The 14,652-nt window shown below is 40.4% G+C and overlaps 1 protein-coding gene across 16 annotated transcripts in view, besides 1 other annotated feature; it reads left to right on the top strand.

Annotated features, from left to right (window-relative positions):
* SORCS1 (sortilin related VPS10 domain containing receptor 1) overlaps positions 1-14,652 on the top strand; it is a 607,476-nt gene that overhangs the window by 464,339 nt on the left and 128,485 nt on the right. For all 16 annotated transcript variants that reach the window (XM_017015617.1, XM_047424547.1, XM_017015615.3 and 13 more), the window contains exons 7-8: positions 7,459-7,577; positions 10,166-10,255. In XM_017015617.1, the coding sequence (XP_016871106.1) occupies positions 7,459-7,577; positions 10,166-10,255 (209 nt within the window). The remainder of the gene's footprint in view (positions 1-7,458; positions 7,578-10,165; positions 10,256-14,652) is intronic.
* Positions 5,284-5,373: a silencer, noted in NCBI's record as "silent region_2800". NCBI's record gives its function as "represses an Ori minimal core promoter by ATAC-STARR-seq in GM12878 lymphoblastoid cells {active_cell/tissue: GM12878}" and the evidence as "EXISTENCE:reporter gene assay evidence [ECO:0000049][PMID:35858748]".

The following is a 14,652-nucleotide window of genomic DNA, read 5'->3' as shown; positions in this document are numbered from 1 at the left end:
TTCCTGACCCCGAGGAAAGGTTGCTCTGGTTATTTTGGAGGTTAGTGCTGCTGCTGCTGTTATCAATGAAGACATTCTGGGGATGGAAAGGTTTGTCTAAGCCCCAGGAAAAAGTTCACAGAAGAAGGTCCAGGAAGTATTTGGACTGAGTAACAGGAAAGGAAAAGGCTGTTCAAGCCAGCAGAACTCTGAATGAACATAGGGAATCAGCCAGGAGTTAAGCATGCTGTTTAGAAATAGCAGAAGCCCTCAAGACACAGACTTGCCAGCAACATCACAGAGCTTTGTTTTGTTTTGGCAGCAGTGGGAAGGAAACAGGTTTCAGTGGATAATTTATGGTAAAGATTTGTTGGATCTTAAAGTCATAGTCTGATTTTTAACATCCGTTTTGTTTCTAAGCTTCTAATAACTCTCATTATGTAAAGAAATAGTCTAAAACTGAGCTTGGTTGATGACCTTCTCAGAGTCACACGCCATGCTGGAGATGGAACTAGGACCTAGAAGATAGCTCCAACAGGAAGACGGAACACCTGCCACACCTGCTGATTGGCCCTGTGTGTTGGGTGCAGAGATGACTTCCACATTCTCCTTGTAGCCCTACTTATTTGGCAGTGCTGTCTGCTGCCTATGCAGAAGATCTGTATTTGTATTAATTATTATATAAGGAGAATATTTTTTCATGGTGTTTTTAAAAACGTACTTAAAAAATCTTTAACCCAAACAAAAATTGAATATAAAAAGAAAGAAGTGGCCGGGTGTGGTGGCTCACTCCTGTAATCACAGCACTTTGGGAGGCTGAGGCAGACGAATCACGAGGTCAGGAGTTCGAGACCAGCCTGACCGACATGGTGAAACCCTGTCTCTACTAAAAATACAAAAATTAGCCAGGCGTGGTGGCATGCGCCTGTGGTCCCAGCTACTCGGGAGGCTGGGGCAGGAGAATTGTTTGAACTCGGGAGGTTGCAGTGACCTGAGATCGCTGCCACTGTACTCCAGCCTGGGTGACAGAGTGAGACTCTGTCCTCAAAAAAAAGAAAAAGAAAGAAGCTGCCTCAGGTAGAAATATCCTTAGCACTTTACAGGTGGTTAGCTTGAGACACAGTGAGCAGTATTGGTGATTACAGAGAGAGGACTTAAATACCAACTACAGCTATCATTATGTGAGTACAGTCTAATCTGGCGCTAGACTCAACACATTTCAAGACTAAGGTCATCAAATGTCATAACTTCTGGCTAGATGGATATTGTTTGTTCCCATTTTCTAGATCAGCGTTTGGAGACGTGGAGTGATTTACTAAGCTAGCAGGCCTTGAGCCTGCATTTAAACCTCTGATCCTCTGTTCAAAGCCTACCTTTTTAAAAGCAGCTTCCCTTCTCTAGAACAGCACAGGTTTTGGGTGGATGGGGATTGCATTATTCTAAGCAGCAGCTGTTGCAGAGAGTGAAGATGCTTGAAAAGAACAGCACAGTGTCCTAATTACCTATGGCAAGGAAAACATCTGTGTAGGAAAAGTAATGAAATTAATTCTAATGTCTAGCAGTTGCATGCATTAATTGACATTAATTAATGCCAAATTACAAGATACTTCCTATGGAATCACATCATACACTCACCAGAATTGAATATGGAAAGAGTTCATCATACTTAATACTATTACAGCAAGCCCCAAGGGGGATGAGTGCTTGGTCCCTTATTATGAAGTGCAGCCAGTTTCTTTCTGTTTTCCATTAGGAGGAGAAAGGGAACAAACCAGGAACACTTTACCACGGGCAGACTGTTCAAGATGGTTCATTTCCCCTTCAGCTTGCAAATTTCACTTTGAGCCACTCAGAGCAAGAAGTGGTTTGAAGACCTCTTCCGGGGCTTTTCTTGTGTCCCTATTTTAAACTTGGTAATTCTCAGACCAAAGATAGGCTTATTGCACAGCTCAACAGCAATATGAGGCATGGGAAGTAGAGAAAGAACAAGCAGAGAGATTAGAGACAGTTGATCTCACAAGTCCATCTTGACTCCCCGCTCCCCTACTTGCCCGGCTGTAGAAGGGCTGGACTAGGGATTTGTTGTAAAGATTGCCAACTCTTTCACATTAGTGGCTCTCCGCTGTTGTTGACATCTCATATATATCTTTTATTTATTTTTCCTGTGCAAACATACATTTATAGATATATATACGACTTGCAAAAAAACTCAGGTCCATAATGCACGTATTTTGGTAACCTACTTTTTAAAAACTTTTATTTTGGAATAATTTTAGATACACAGAAAAGTCACCCAAGATAGTACAGAATACATGTACTTTATACCCAGCTTCCTCTAATGTTAACATTTTATGTAACCATGGTATATTTTTCAAAACTAGGAAATTAACATTGGAATAATATTACTAATTGGTAACCTACTTCTATAATATAAAATATATTAAGCATTTCCTCATAAAAGCAAGATTTTAATAGCAAACTCTAAATGTTCCATAGTTTATTAAGTTCTTTTTCTATTGTTGGCCATTATGTTTTCTCCAAAATTTTTTATTATAAATAACACTGATAAATATCTTTGTTGTTGAATCTTTGCATTGATCCTTGATTTTTTTCCTTAGATAGAATTCTCAGAAATAAACCCTAGGTCAAAGGGTATCTTTTTTTTTTTTTTTTTTTTTTTTTTTTGAGGCAGAGTTTCACTGTTGTTGCCAGGCTGGAGTGCAGTGCCGTGATCCCAGCTTACTGCAATCTCCACCTCCTGAGTTAAAGTGATTCTGCTGTCTCAGACTCCCAGCCAAGTAGCTGGGATTACAGGCACGTGCCACCATGCCTGGCTAATTATTGTGTTTTTAGTAGAGATGGAGTTTCACTATGTTGGTCAGGCTGGTCCTGCATTTTTAAGTATCTTGATTCATATTGCCAAATTACCACACAAAAATATTAAGGTGTTCTTATTTTGTATCTTGGGGTATCTGTTTGAACCTTAGATAGAAGCCAAAATATACTTAACAAAAATTGGCCCCAAACTTACTGGGATTTTTCATGCAACACAGTATACTAGAAATAAACCAAAGTTGGAGTCAGTCTAACCACGTTGCAACCACATACTGCCGTTTCTACACATCACTATTTTTTAGCTTCATTCTCTTTATCTGCAAAGTCAGTTGGTATACTCTGCAGTGTTGTGAAGACTAAACGTGCTATAGCTATGTGAACATGCTTCAGACTGCCTGGCTCACAGATGAACAACAAATGTTAAATTCCATCTTTGTTTTCTCCCTAAATTCCTTAGATTAATAATTTCTATATAGGTGAATTAGAAACATGAAAAGGGTATGTTATTATTTTCCATCTTATGTTTGTACAGGGTCTTAAGGAAAAGAAAAGAGCCATCAGACACTAATACAAATAAAACAAGAATTGTGTATGCATCAAGTCCTCATTAGGTGTCAGTCTTAAAAATTCTAGTTGGAAATTGTATTTGTAATTTGAAGGTCAAGACCTCCTAATCAAACTCTCATTGTGTTTAGCCATTGTTTTTGTTCATTATCTCACATAACAAGAAGCACAGAGGTTGGGGCAGCTTGAGGCTCAGTACCATCAACAGCTCAATGATGTCATTAGGAAATGGGTACTTTCCATCTAGTTGTCATACTCGTTATATAAGCTTGACTGTAAGACTGGCTCCTTTGGGCAACCAGAAACCTAGAGCCATTCACATTGAGACACAGTGTTTACAGAGGCAGAAGATCTTCTGCTGTATCTCCTGATATCTCTCAGATTCCCCTTAAAAGCTCTCTCCTCACTTCTCATGTACCAGTACTAGGTTTAAATACCCTCTTCTAAAACAACCAATGGCAAGTGGAGAAGGAAGGCTTGAGTAGGTTTAGAGTGACAACATTCCTCCTTGCATATGGGAACTTCTGAGTCACATGGAGAAAAGATGAGCTGACAGATCCGATATTGGATTTTTCAGCAAAAAGCCAGAGAACAATGGGTGTTCAGTAGCTCGCCAAAGAACCTGATTCAGAAATATAACTGGAATATTTAAATTTGGCTTAACTAGTCTTTTTAAGTGTGTTCCCAAAATTTCTCATCATTATGAAAGGTGGCAAAACAGAAAACAGAAATATTATCATTCTTAATCATAACAACTAACATTTGTATGAATTTGAGTTTCAAAACATTTAGCATATATGTTATTTTAATTCTTACAGCTAAAGTACAAGATAGTTGATATTGGCATCCTCCTTTAATAGATGAAGGAGGCAGTGAAATTGGCCCAGTTGTCCCATAGAACATGATGTTTATGCTTTCTTTTGAATAAACACAGAAATTGATCCTTCCAGTCTTCAAACTTGAGAAAGTTACATTTGTTTTATCCGAGTTCTTATCCAAGTTCCTTTCTCAGGAAACCAACCATCAGGCCTCCCAGGTATCATCAAGGAACTTAAGCTTACCAGATCACTGCATCTAGACAATGAGATACCAGACCCCTCACTCATCCTGATTGCCTAACTGACAACTTGCTTTCTGTTGACCAGCTCTTCTTCCTTACACCCCCTAATTCCTATTTTCCCACACATTGTTACATTTCTTCCCTGCTATATAAACTCCTAATTTTAGTTTGCCAGGGAGATAGATTTGAGACTGATCTTCCATTTCCTCAGCTGTGGCATCTGATTCAAGTCTTCTTCCTTAGCAATACTCATTGTCTCAGTGATTCGCTTTCAGTACCATGAACAGAAAAACCAAGATGGAACATTGGTTAGCATTGCAGTAACAGCAAGACTCAGGAAGATGAAAGGATTTCTTATGAACTACACAGCTAATAAATAAACCACACCAGAATTCAAGCCCAGTTCTTATCGTCATAAATCTCCATTGTTTCTATGACCCCCAAGCTACATTTTGGAAAACAGAAGTCACTTAAAAGCTGTAAAACAGTCTGGTGGAGTGTAAAATTGTGAGGTAAAGATTTTGTGTGCTAGACGGAGGATCGTTCTGGGAAGGGATAGTCCCAGAAACTGTCTTTAAGGAAAAAGATCCTGTGTTCTGCTCTAACGTGAAATTACAGGAATGCCTGAAAAAGGAGATGAGGAAGGAAGAATAGAGGACTCTAATTTAATTTTGGAGGTGGCTTCACCAGGACTAGACAGGTTAAAGCACTTGAGAGCTATCCCCATCTTCGGAAATGGCAGTGGGGTGAAGGAAGATGGTGTGTAAGGCTCTCCACCATTGTCTACTGAGAGGTTATCAGAAACCCCATCAGTCATTGGTCAGAGGGAGCAAGAGTGCATGCCGCCCCCTAGTGGCACTCTGCAGAATACAGGTAGGTACACATAAGTTCCTTAAGTAAAGGTGGTCCTGGACAATTCCGCCTTCCTAGTTTTCTTAAGAGAAATCTTTAGTGAATCCTTATATCTAGCTTATCTATCTCTACATACTATTCCCCACCTCTATTTCCTGTAAATAATCATCTTCTGATATTTTCATTTGGAAAAATAGAATTCTGCATAAGTCTCTGATATCTTAAAATCAAACCCACCTACTCATTAAGCATCAAAAACAAGTAAAATAACTCCTTTTTTATACTCAAAAGGATATATTTCAATAAGTGGCATGTTCCAACAAATATTCATTTATTGCCTACTGTGTGCCAGGAACAGTATTAGGATCTGGTGGACACAACAGTGAATAACAGCAACAACAACAAAAACAAAAAAGGCATTTGTCTTTATAGAGATTACATTCTAATGGGAGCACGGCTCAGTAAGAAAGAAATAACAAGGTAATTTTATATTGTGATAAATTCCATAGAAAGAATTAATAGGATGGTGTGTGATAAAGAATAACTATGGAAGATCCTCAGATGTAACAGTGAGCTAGCTGAAATCTAGAACGTGCTTTGAGAACAGCCTGGGGAGAAGCATTTTAGGCAGAGGGAATGCAAATGAAGAGTCTTTAAAGTGGTAGAAAGTTTGGCCAACTTCCTGAACATAAAGTAGGGTGGATTAGAAGAATCACAGAGAGAGTAGAAGAGATTAGCATGGTGAGAAGTGGGGGAGGTTGGAGGGTTGGCATGGTGGGTGGTGGAGAGTTTGAATTTATTCTCAATACAATGAGGCAAAAGGAGTTTTAAGTAAGGGAGTAACATAATCTGATTAGATAGAGGCCAGGATAGTGTGCTCAAAAAACAGGAATAGCCTCCCTGATAAAATGTATTTCCAGCAATAGCGACCAAACTGACGTAAGAGTTGTCATTACTGATGTTGTATTTATCACCAGGTGAGATCCAGGGTCTCAACTGATTCAATTGTAAAGTAAAAGCAAAGTCTTAACTCAAGGAACTCCTCCCAATTCGGTTTTGCTTTTTTTTTTTTTTTTTCCTGTCACCCAGGTTGGAGTGCAGTGGCGTGATCTTGGCCCACTGCAACCTCCGCCCCGCTGGGTTCAAGTGATTCTGTTGCCTCAGCCTCCTGAGTAGCTGTGATTTTACGTGCCTGCCACTGCGCCCAGCTCATTTTTGTATTTTTAGTAGAGACGGGGTTTCACCATCTTGGCCAGGCTGGTTGTGAACTCCAGACCTCGTGATCCACCTGCTTTGGCCTCCCAAAGTGCTGGGATTACAGGCATGAGCCACAGCTCCCGGCTCTGTTTTACTTCTAATGAATTATGAAAGAAAAACCCTTATCTTACTTAACCTAGAATCTTATAACCACATCATTTTTATCATTAGATGATGAATGATTAGATGTATGTGTGTTTTCCTCTTTGTCAAAGATCAAAGTGTGAAGGTGAAACCTACTAATGAGAAAAAATTGACCATGAAATCCCAAGTATTATTGCCAGTTTTTGAAAATATTTTCATTTGGGTTTGGGAGGGAAAAAAATAATTAGCAAGAATTTAGTATTCTAGGATATCAAGACTTGGTGGAAGCACCAGGAGATGATGTAGGTGGTATTGAGAGCAAGTGAGTAAAATAATAATGATAATAATTTAAATAATAATAACAATGACAATAACGTATTTAACAAAGACTGTGAGGCTTGTTTAAAGAACTGGAAATGGTGGCTGGGCGCGGTGGCTCACGCCTGTAATCCCAGCACTTTGGGAGGCCAGGGCAGGCAGATCATGAGGTCAGGAGATCGAGACCATCCTGGCTAACACGGTGAAACCCCGTCTCTACTAAAAATACAAAAAATTAGCCGGGCATTGTGGTGGATGCCTGTAGTCCCGGCTACTCAGGAGGCTGAGGCAGGAGAATGGCGTGAACCCGGGAGGCGGAGCTTGCAGTGAGCCGAGATCGCACCACTGCACTCCAGCCTGGGCGACAGAGCGAGACTCCATCTCAAAAAAAAAAAAAAAAAAAAAAATTGGAAATGGTAAGGGAAATATCAAACGTCCACCCTGACTGTAAATCTCTGTCTGTATATCCCCCTCAACCCCATGTTTTTGTTTTTGTTTTTGTTTTTCAGATTCACATTATCTAACTTGCCGAATGCAGAACTGTACAGAGGCCAACAGGAATCAGCCTTTTCCAGGCTACATTGACCCAGACTCTTTGATTGTTCAGGATCATTATGTGTTTGTTCAGGTAGGAAAAATCCACTTCTGTTGATTGTCTCAGAAACCTTTCTTTTCCTTGTTTCTGTCCCTTTTGCCTGCTTTACACTCCATTAAGAGTCAAAAAGAGAGGATGGGAGGGAGGGAAGGAGGTAGGGAGAGAGGGGAAAATCACTATCTTTTCAATAAAAGGATAATTAGTGAGTGTGGAATCTTCTATACTAACAGACTAGTCATGAATTTCTTTGGGCTGTGTCCAGAGGATCTTATCAACATGGGGTCATGAAGGCATCGCACAGAGTAGTGAGATTGTCTCTAGGATGATGCACAGTACGATCTGTCCCCCACACCTGCATTCCAAAGAAGCTCCCAGTTATCAAAGGGACTGAACAAATATGTCAGTCTCTTTCTATCTGGGAAAGGGTCAGCCAATCAGCCCCCTCCCCAATACCCACCTTAAAAGTGGAGAAGCAGGAATGGGAAGGGAAGCTGTGGGGTGGCTGGAGATAGTGGGAGGCAGAGGCCAGGGGGAGAGTAATCAGCTTTTATTGTCATGCACCAACTGTGATTAGAATAAAGACACTTCAGAGCAGATGTATTCAGCCAGGTTTTTCACCCCCAAGAGAGTGGAGAACAGTTTAAGAAGCTGACGTTTCCTGAGTTGTTAGTAGAGACAAGAAGCAAATACGCTGCACTGCTTTTCAGCATTCAAGGAAAAATTTAAGCTTGTTTGGACAATGCATTTTAAAACTCAGTTACCACCTTCCATGTTAAAAATGACAAAGGTACAATTACTAAATAGCTTATACGTATATATAAAAGTATACATATATATATATAAAGACCCATTCTAGACAGTATTACATTTATTTCGACAAGAAATTGTGATTTGGAATATTTAATTACATGCTTTGAGGATGCAATTTGTTTAAATGCCTACCACCCTGTGTACTTATAAAATGTTTCACATATGATCACACACATACACACACACACACACACACACACCATTTCTTTATTCTTCAGGGAAATTAGTAATTAATACTCTGACAATTTCAGCATCAAGTTGTCAATGGACATTCGAATAGTTACATGTATTGGTTCTGTCTATAATAATTCATTTCTGTATCAGTGCTGCTCCCAGGAACCTTTTCTGGTTTCTAATAACACTTTGTGATCCACATCTATGACTTACAAATGAGAATCAATTCTGCATTTGGAATTTCACACAGTCTTTACCCATGCCACCATGAACATCCTGTAACCCCTCACTAGACCTAAGAGGTCATCTGGCCACATGACGGTGAAGATGATAACTTTCCAAGTCACATTCCTAATGTGATGAACATGCGCATTTGTTGACATTCTGAGTATGCAGACTCCAGCTGTCATTGAAACTCCAGGCATTTAGAGGGGTTAAGAGTGGCTGTGTAGGAGAGAGAGAGAGAGACGTGGTGGTGCCCTTGACACTGTGCCTGCAGGTTGCTCATGTGCTGGCTGGAGACCACACCTGCCCTCTCTACCTGCCCTCTGTACCTTCCTGCCCTCTCTCACACCCACCAGGATTCTTTGGGCTGCATGCTTTGGACAAGATTGGAGGGGAACTGGCTGTGGTGGCACCTGCTTGTAGTCTCAGCTCCTGGGGAGGATCACTTGAGCCCAGGAGTTGAAGGGTGCATGAGCTATGATTGTGCCACTGCACTCTAGCCCTGGGCAATAGAGTGAGATTTAGCTTTAAAAATTTTTTCAAAAAGGCTGGGCACAGTGGGTCATGCCTGTAATCCCAGCATTTTGGGAGGCCGAGGCGGGCAGATCACCTGAGGTCAGGAGTTCGAGACCAGCTTGGGCAACATGGTGAAACCCTCCCCCCCACCATCTCTACTAAAAGAATACAAAACATAGCCAGGTGTGGTGGCAAGGGCTTGTAATCCTAGATACTCTGGAGGCTAAGGCAGGAGAATCACTTGAACCTGGGAGGCGGAGGTTGCAGTGAGCCGAGATAGTGCCATTGTACTCCAGCCTGGGTAACAGCAGTGAAACTTCATCTCAAAAAAAAAAAAAAAATTAAATTAAATAGAAGAGACCTAGATTGAATTTGGACACCAATCCTAGCCTGGTTTTCCATCTAATATGCCAGCACTCCTGTCTGTGCCATGTGCCCATAATCATCAGTGTAACACCATCAAACTGGAATTCAGTGCCCAGAGATGTGAGCCTCCAGCTCTGCCACTGTTTGGGTTGGGCCATTTCATTCTGATATGGCACAGGGACCTACTTGTAGGGTCATAGACTTGGGTCTAGAGACCTGGGCTGGTGATGGCAATCAGCCAATGTACCCCATTTGAAAAAAATAACTCAAAATGTTTTCTGGCATCTGAGTCACAGTGCAAACTTAAGAATTGTATTTTTGTCCAGTAGGTTCAGTTTGGGCCGCTGACCAGCTCATATGTCTTTATAAGTTGTGTTTGAACTGAAGGCCAATTCTTTACACTTGTCCGCAATAGACATTAATGCCATTTGTTGTGTTGGAAGCTTCCTCCTTCCATTCAGGTGACTGTTCTGTGACCTGTGCCTGTTACAGTAGCTCGAGCTTCTTACAGTCTTGTTTTTATGATCCAGCTGACATCAGGAGGGCGGCCACATTACTACGTGTCCTACCGAAGGAATGCATTTGCCCAAATGAAGCTTCCGAAATATGCTTTGCCCAAGGTATGGCCTAAATCACTTTCTTCATTTCACTCTTGACTCTCATTCACAGAAGCCAGCCTCCATCCCTTTCCCAAGGACTCTTTCAGCCTCTCATAGTCATGTTTTCTTTACATCTCTCATCTCTGTTTCCCAAGTTTGCTCTGCCTTACTGTCTCTTTGGTCAGTCCTATTACCCTCCTCTTGTTTCCTCCCTCCCTCCCTTCCTTTCTCTCTCTCTCTTCCTTTCTTTCTTTCCTTCTTTCTTTCTTTCTCTTTCTCCTTCATCTTACTTTCTTTTTTTCTCTTTCTCTTTTTCTTTCTTTCATCTTACTTTCTCTTTTTCTCTTTCTTTCTTTTTTCTTTCTTTCTTTCTTCTCTGTCTCTGAGATTGTTGCTATAGGAACATTCATATGAATTTTAATAATTGATTTGCTTTTCAATAGTAAAGATTTTCAAGCCATATGTATTGGTTTTCTAACAAGACAGAAAATATTTTTTGGATGTGTTATGTATCAGTGCAACAGCTGCCGTCCATTTCTGTCCCATTTGATTATCAGTTGTTTACTGAGCAGTGATGCCGTGACGTGGCACCAGCCTTTGCTTTCTCAGCCAGTCAGCTCCCTGTAAACTTATGAGACTGGTTGTCTTTAGAGTTCTGAGTCGCAGCTAATTTTTTAGACTTCCCCAAAGGCATATCCTTTGGAAAACAGAGGCAAACAAAAGTTAAAGACCCTCAACTGTTGACATCCCCAGGCTGTCTTTCCAGAAGTGCTGAAGAACTGCGTTAATATGGAGCGCCACCTAGTGGAGGTCAAACTGACTCGGGAGCTCAGAGCTGTGTATTTGCGATCTTGCTGCCATCGTGATGTATTTGAAGTGACTAGGAACTGTAAATGTACTGTGCCTTAATCTTAGAGCAAGGGAGATGCATGTGGCTATAAGAAAGGGACTATGCAGGTTTAAAGAGAGTTATAGCTCAACTTTGAAGCCTTTGGGTTGCACAAAGAACATACCTAACTTTTTTTAATTGAGTTGCCATGCCTCTTTCTCTTATATTTTCATCCATCACTTTGTCGTATGTTGTCTTGAACCAACACCAGATAGCTGCCCAGGAAGTCATATAATAGACATAACACAAGGACACAGCACGCCTCCTCTCCCGGGAGAGCCAGTGGTAACAGATTGTTCTGGTTTCTCCAGGATGAATTCTCTTTCTTGGCTACCACCCTTCCCTCACCCTAACGTAGTGAAAGGTGGGATGTAAGCCTCAGCCCATTAGAGGTAATAACACACACTGAGTTGCACTATTAACTTGAAAGAACTATAGCTATGTTCGTGGTTGTTATTTTCAGCTGCTGAGAGATTAATGACTGTGGTAATTATCCAGAACTGTATGTATGTCTGTGTATGGATACATTTAAGTTCTTGTTGTTCTTGATTTGGCTTAAGTGTTTGTTTTTTTTTTCTCCAGTAAGACAAGAATTTACAACACTTAAGTTGTGCCTTAGATGAGAATTGGATAACATCACTATGTAAAAGGAAAACTGAGTGTTGTTCAAATTACCTCTGATAATCTCTTAGGAAGGTCTGTCAGAGAAATGAACATGTTAACTCAATAAATACAACAGAGCCAGGTTTTGTTTTGTTTTTTTCCTCTTGAGCATTGAAATAAATTGTTGTTTCTTTGATTGACTAATAAATGAAGTAGTTGACTTGCAGGATTTGCACCTTAAAAAAAGAATTATCCTCAATGTAATGACATGCTGCTGTTGTTCAAGGGGGATGTGGAAATGGAGACCATATCCTCATCTTATGCGCACTCTTGGGAATAAACTGTTTTTTGTTTTTGTTTTTGTTTTTGTTTTGTTTTGTTTTTGAGACACAATCTCGCTCTGTCACCCAGGCTGGAGTGCAGTGGCGCAGTCTTGGCTCACTGCAACCTCCACCTCCCGGGTTCAAGCGATTCTCCTGCCTCAGCCTCCCGAGTAGCTGGGACTACAGGAGCGTGCCACCAAGCCTGGCTAATTTTTGTATTTTTAGCGGAGACAGACTTTCACCATATTGGTCAGGCTGGTCTTGAACTCCTGACCTCGTGATCCGCCTGCCTTGGCCTCCCAAAGTGGTGGGATTACAGGTGTGAGCCACTGAGCCTGGCCGGTAATAAACTCGTTAAGTGACATAAGTTTTGGTGGAAATCAAATGCTATTTGTAGCATAATTGAGGCTAGAACTCAAGTCTCCTGACTCTCAAGGTAGTACTTTTTTATATTATACTTTCTTAGTAAATTAATAGCTTCTGTTATTAAAACATAGCATCATCACCCCATCAAAATTCCATATACTGTCAGGGGCATTAAGAAGAAAATCCCATTGACTTAAGGAGCCCCAGAAATCATAGTTTAAAATCAAAGAAATGTTTGTAGACTCATTGCTGGAGGTTTGGGAAACAGATACTTTGCATTGCTTGTTCATAGCCATCACACAGATCACTGCTGACAGTTGCCCGCAGTGGCATCTAGCCAATATGGAAGGAAAAAGTTTTACTTTGAACCCAAATTTGCATCTGTCTTCTTCCTCCTGTTCTCCCAGAAGAGCATGTTCCATTACTCAGTCTTATCTGGGTTCTGAGGGTAGAATGCAGTGATTAATTTAGCTTGTTCCCAGAAAAAATAGGGGCTAGTACAGCAGATGAATGTATTATTTAGTCCGGGTGGATGTTTATTATTTAAGGCAATGAGATTCTTTATTACAATCCCATTATACCTTCAAAAAGAAACCCCAGCTTGGGTGGAATGATCTGCAACAAAGGTGCATATATTTCATGGCCTGTCAGGGCTGGTGCAACTGGAAATGAACAAAGCTTCATGCCGACCAAAGGAATTGAGACAAACCAGCACTTTTATGCTCAATTTTCTTTAATCACCCACTACCATTGTATCAACTCCTGAAAGATCATAGTCACCCTGAGCTGTGCTCAAAAAAATATTTACTAATAGTAAAGAATGACAGTGGGTAGGGAGATTTTAATATTGCCATTGCCATTAAGAGCATGTGGCCCTCCAGACAGGGGAAAGTAATGAGTTTTCCTTCTTTTAACTTGCTGGGAACCCATTCTGAGCTACTCAAGTGAGATAAATGAGGCAATACATACGAAAGTGCTTTGAGCATTTTGGAGGACAGATACTCTATAAAAGCAAGGTAATATTATTATTAGTATGGATCTAGTTGTCTCCGTGGTGGAAGATCGATGTGGACCAGGATGCAGGTGATGTGAAGGCTGCTTGATTTGCAGCAGGAGACCTGGATTAGGGACCCAGATCTGTCACTAACTTGCTTTGAAACCTTGGGCTGGTTTGTCAATGTCTCTTTTCTTTATTTTTTTTTTTTTTAAATAAGGAGCTTAGATTCACAACAATATTTTCTCATATGTGTTACTTAGAATAAAATGTCCTTAGTAATCCTTCCTGAGAATTTGGTTGTGTGGTCAAATATGTCTGAAAAAAGGAATAAACTTCATTCTGTGTTTCTTGCCTAGAGAGTAACAGTAGCTCACTGGTGTGTTGAAGGTTTAGAACATCCAATAAGCAAGAAAGCTCTTTAATTCACCATTAATTAATATGTTTTACCAAAGGATCCCTTCCTCCTTTTCAAGTCTACTAAAATCCTAACAACATTGTCGTCCTATGGAGCAGACTTTAGAAAATGCTTCAATACAAAATCTGTAAGATCACACCTTGCTCTCAAATTCTGTGATTCGGTTAAAGCATTCAACATAAAGTGCCACATTGGGAGAAAAAGCGCATTTCTCCCAATAGAAACAGGATTTAGGGAAGGAGAAAAAAGAAGGATAATATATAAATATTTTAAACTTTTCAATTAAACTATTTAAGACCAATATCATTTGAAAATGGCTGTACAACATAATTACATGAAACAAAGGAAGGATTGGAACTCAGCTCATATCTAGAGATGGCCATTTTAATCTGTTATCATTGTGTGATTAGTTCTCTAAGTGACCTAGACCACAATATTTGATACATCTGTGTTTTCCTATCCAAATCTACAAAATAAAGTCTTGGGAGAAGTGGCCGGTATAGGTGATGCACTTTACTCTTCCAGCCTAGGATTATTTAATCAAATGTCTATTGTGAGAAACTCAGAGGTTCACCAGTGCAGAGATTCATTGTAAATCACAGAAGTGGGAATTAGCTATGCGGGGGTCAGGTTATTGTTGAGATATTTTAACTTGGCTTCAGGGATGATGCTGCATCTTACTGACAAAGAAGGGAAGATGAATTGGGAATAGTTGTTTGATGTTTCTCAAGGCCAAGGTAAGGATTTAGGTCTTTACCCTATAGGATGGGGAGCCATGGGAGGTTTGGTTGTCAAGGCAGGAACAGCTCTGGAGCTAATTTCCAC

This window comes from Homo sapiens, chromosome 10 (assembly GCF_000001405.40).
Source record: "Homo sapiens chromosome 10, GRCh38.p14 Primary Assembly".
In the NCBI taxonomy this organism is placed as follows: domain Eukaryota; kingdom Metazoa; phylum Chordata; class Mammalia; order Primates; family Hominidae; genus Homo; species Homo sapiens.
Note: the sequence above shows the minus strand (reverse complement) of the source record. Positions and strands in the feature narration are given on the sequence as shown.